We start from the raw sequence: 3,758 nt of genomic DNA, 5'->3' as shown, positions 1-3,758 counted from the left end.
GTCTGCCTTGTTCACTGTTGTATCCCCAGTAGTTGGCACTTAATATTTGATGAATAAAATCTCTGGTTCCCAAGTGGTTTGATTCTAGCATAGTGTCTCACTCAAATAAACTAGTCCAGCAGCCAAAAGTAATTTGAACCTTTTATTGTGCTTTTAAGAAACACTTAAGGAGATTGCAGTCATAATCCAAGTGACACATCTTAAAATTTCCTTTCCACCCTTCAGTAATTCTTCAATCCAGCAGCTGCTTCTTCTAAAACCTTCTTTTCCACATCTCTCCCACATGGAGACTTTCCCATGTTCTTTACTTTTCCTTCCCCATGGGCCATTGGCCTCCGTATCCTCACCAGAAGTTACCACCAGGACTTCTGCTTCCACCACCACTGAGCGACGCTAGGATGCCTGGAGGTACCCCCCTCACTTTCTATGGAGGGAAATGAGCAGAGTCCTCTAAAAAGTGAAGTTCTCTCATGTTGAGTGCTTTTCCCAAAGTAATTGCAATAAATCATATTTTTGACAATAGTTTTGTTCCTTTATTACAAATGCAACCTTAGGAAGCAAAAAGCCAGGGACCCCGATATTTTCCCAAGGAGTCACTCTATGTGTTTGTTAGTGGAAATACTTGTACTCTTACTGTAAACTTATCTATGACCAGTTAGGTAGCGGTTAGAGACTTCCCTTTCCTCTAAACTTTGAGAAACTTGACATTTCTGGGGGGTTTAGAGGATGGGGGTCCGGAGGAGCATTACAAGTCACTCGAGGAGAGAAACTGAGTCAAAGCCTCTCTCCCTCTTAAACACACACACACACACAGACACACACAGACACACACACACACCCTGCCCCCATACCCAGGTGCTCACTCTCTGAGGGAGAGGGCTGGCTAACTAGAGAAGCAGATTCCAAGGAGCAGCTAGGCTACAAAGCGTTTGATGCCAGGGACCTGGTCAGCTCAACTGGTGGCCAAGACCCTGGAGTAGGAGGATATAGGCAATCATCTGGAGAGAAACCCCAGGGTGCCAGGACCCCAGAGCTCCTGCCCTGAAATCACAGGGCGTCATCACTGGAGGAGAAAGGGAAGAGCTGGAACCAAAGGTGAGCCAAGCACCCAGGAATTCCCCTGGGAGCAAACCTTGTGCAGCAAAGGAAACTTAAGGAGCTTGAAGGGGTCTGTCAGTGGGTCATGAGGGGTCCCTTGGTCCCAATCAGGCCTGAGGGTCCTGACTCTAAGCATACGAGGCACATACAGTAAAGCTGCTGATAAAATTCCTTCTTTGGTCAAAATGGGCACAAAATCTGGAACAGAATTAAGCCTGCAGCCAGGACCATCAGAGGCACAGCGTGGCCAAAAAAAAATCAATCACTCATTTATTCAACAAAGATTTATTAAGCGCTTACTATTGTCAGGCATCGTCTGCTTGGTGCTGACAAGCTGGTCAAATAGACAAACCCCTATGTAGGAGAAGTCACCACCAGGGAATGTCGCCGTGACTACTCCCATCTGGCTCCTCCAGACATACTGGCCCCACACCGCTGGTGAACTTTTAAAACAAACTTCAGGGAGTATGGTCTGCTTGCACTAGATATATACTTTAACCCCAGAAAAAGTTTAACAACAAAACCAAAATCATAGTGCCTTGAAAAATAAAACAGTGTCGATGGCTGATTTTATTTTTGTTATTTCCTAGAACTCTTTGGCAGCTTACTTAAGATTCCAGGATTCCACAGAGCACAATTTAAAATCCTTTGTCCTCAGTCACGCTGACCTTCCAAAAAAGTGGTGGGCACACACTGTATCCCCCAAGCAGCAGTAGCAGTGAGCTACATCAGAGCAGAGTGAGCCAGGCTTCATTACAGGAGCTCTGAGGCCCGAATTGGGCCTCCCAGAGGGTCCATGTGGATTTATAAATAGACGCAGTAAAAGAGTAAATAATGAATTTGTGCAATTGGAGGGAAAAGCTCCAAAGCAGTTCTGGTGATGGGGAGACAAGCATTTAAAAAGGAGTGCCTGAGCATGCATCTCGCCCAGCAAATGTAATGGCTTCATATACATTCATGAGCTTTGGTCTCCACTCTTCCTCTTTTTTAGTCACAATCATAAAAGACAAAAGAAAAGTGAGAGGGGAGAGAAACATAGATATACTTTAAGGGTATGAATTGCAAACACAACCTACAGTTTGTAAATTGCTTGGAGACCTTTGGAGGGAGAATCAAGAAAATGAAAAGTAGAACATACAGGAATATTGCTGCTTAGGGGAAAGTCTCTGCTCTGTGCATAAAATCTTGTCTAGAGAATGGTTGAGAGGCACAATACTGACTAAATGTGAGATTGCTTTGTAGAAAGAACATGCCTCCTTCTCCACTCTGCGTTCCTCCACCTCTCTCCTGTGGCCACCTCCAAGGTCATATTTGTGGAAGCTCCAAGGTTCTATGGTTTTAGTTATATTCAAAACCAGGGAACTCAGAGGTCCCTGCTATGTGTGTTGGCCTCTGCTGCCTCCAACCCACCCCCACCCCAGGTAGACCCACTGAGAGCCCAGCTGCAGCAAAGTCACACTTCCTGGGTTTATATCCCAGCTCAGCCACTTTTTCTGTAACCTGCACCTTCTTCCAGAAAGGATTCACGGTCAGCTGCAAAATGGCTTTTCAATTTTCTGCATTTATGCATGTGTTGCTTTGTAATTTGGGTAGGGAGATTTATTGATTTTAGAAATAAACATGAAGACACAGACACACAAACACAGTGAGGAAATTGGCTTCTGGTAACCTGACGTCAAGTTATAGTTACATGCTGGGGTCTTGTGCCCCGAAAGGGAAGTGTGTGTTGCTAACTTCAGCTAGAAGGAATGCAGTGGTGCAGCCGAAAAGAATGAGAGGAAGATCACAGACCATCTGCCTTTTCCACACCAGGCTGTGTGTTTAAACCAACAGCGATGGAGCCAGCTCAGCGGGGTCACAGGGCTCTGCTGCCTCTTTCCTGCAAGTGAAACTGACCCCAGGCCCTAGCAAGCTGTTCCGGAGCTGCGGGCTGCCCGAGGAGCTGCTCTTCAGAAGGGAGGCAAGATGAAGGTCATACCTATTTGTGTTTAGCCCTGGCCTGGTGGCAGCTCTGCAAACCCTTGGCTTAGGGCCAGCATGGATAATTACATTTCACCTGCCCAAACTCTCCCGTGGTTTCCCTCAGAAACAGATCCTCTTCCATGGCTGCCATGATCCAGAACATAAATACTCTCTCAAAGGCAGTATTCTACACCTGGGCAACTGAGGTTTTGTTCCTTAGAAGGAAAATCCTCTTGTAACAACACACAGTCATTGCTTTATTCCTTCAGCAAACGTTTATTAAGCGCCTACTTAATAAGTGCTAACCACTGTGCTGGAGATGCAAAGATGAATAAGATTGTTTGTTTGTTTGTTTGTTGTTTTGGCCCTGAGAAGTTCACAGTTTGGTAGGAAAGCTATCAATATCAGCAGTAAATGCCTTTAAAAGTAGAATATGGCCAGAGAACTGCAAAGAGAGATTCTAAATCTCCTTAGGAGAGTCAAGGAAGACTTTAGGATCAGTGATTTTGAAGCTGAGCTGTTAAATAGAACCTCAGTAAGCAGATAATGAGGATGAACATACAAGGCAAAGGGCAAACACATATGCCAAGTAAGGGGCTGTGAAGGAGCATGGCATTGACAGGAAAGGCGAGAGTGGTGGGAGCATAAGGCATGAGACAGAGGAGGCTAGAAACAGAGTCTCTGGTTAGGTTGTGAAG

At 45.5% G+C, this 3,758-nt stretch overlaps 1 annotated feature.

The window, feature by feature from the left end:
• Window positions 2,985-3,485: an enhancer, noted in NCBI's record as "H3K4me1 hESC enhancer chr9:108597740-108598240 (GRCh37/hg19 assembly coordinates)". NCBI's record gives its function as "activates a minimal SCP1, AML or CMV promoter by ChIP-STARR-seq in naive H9 embryonic stem cells {active_cell/tissue: H9 hESC(naive)}" and the evidence as "EXISTENCE:reporter gene assay evidence [ECO:0000049][PMID:30033119]".

This window comes from Homo sapiens, chromosome 9, assembly GCF_000001405.40.
Source record: "Homo sapiens chromosome 9, GRCh38.p14 Primary Assembly".
Lineage (NCBI taxonomy): Eukaryota > Metazoa > Chordata > Mammalia > Primates > Hominidae > Homo > Homo sapiens.
Note: the sequence above shows the minus strand (reverse complement) of the source record. Positions and strands in the feature narration are given on the sequence as shown.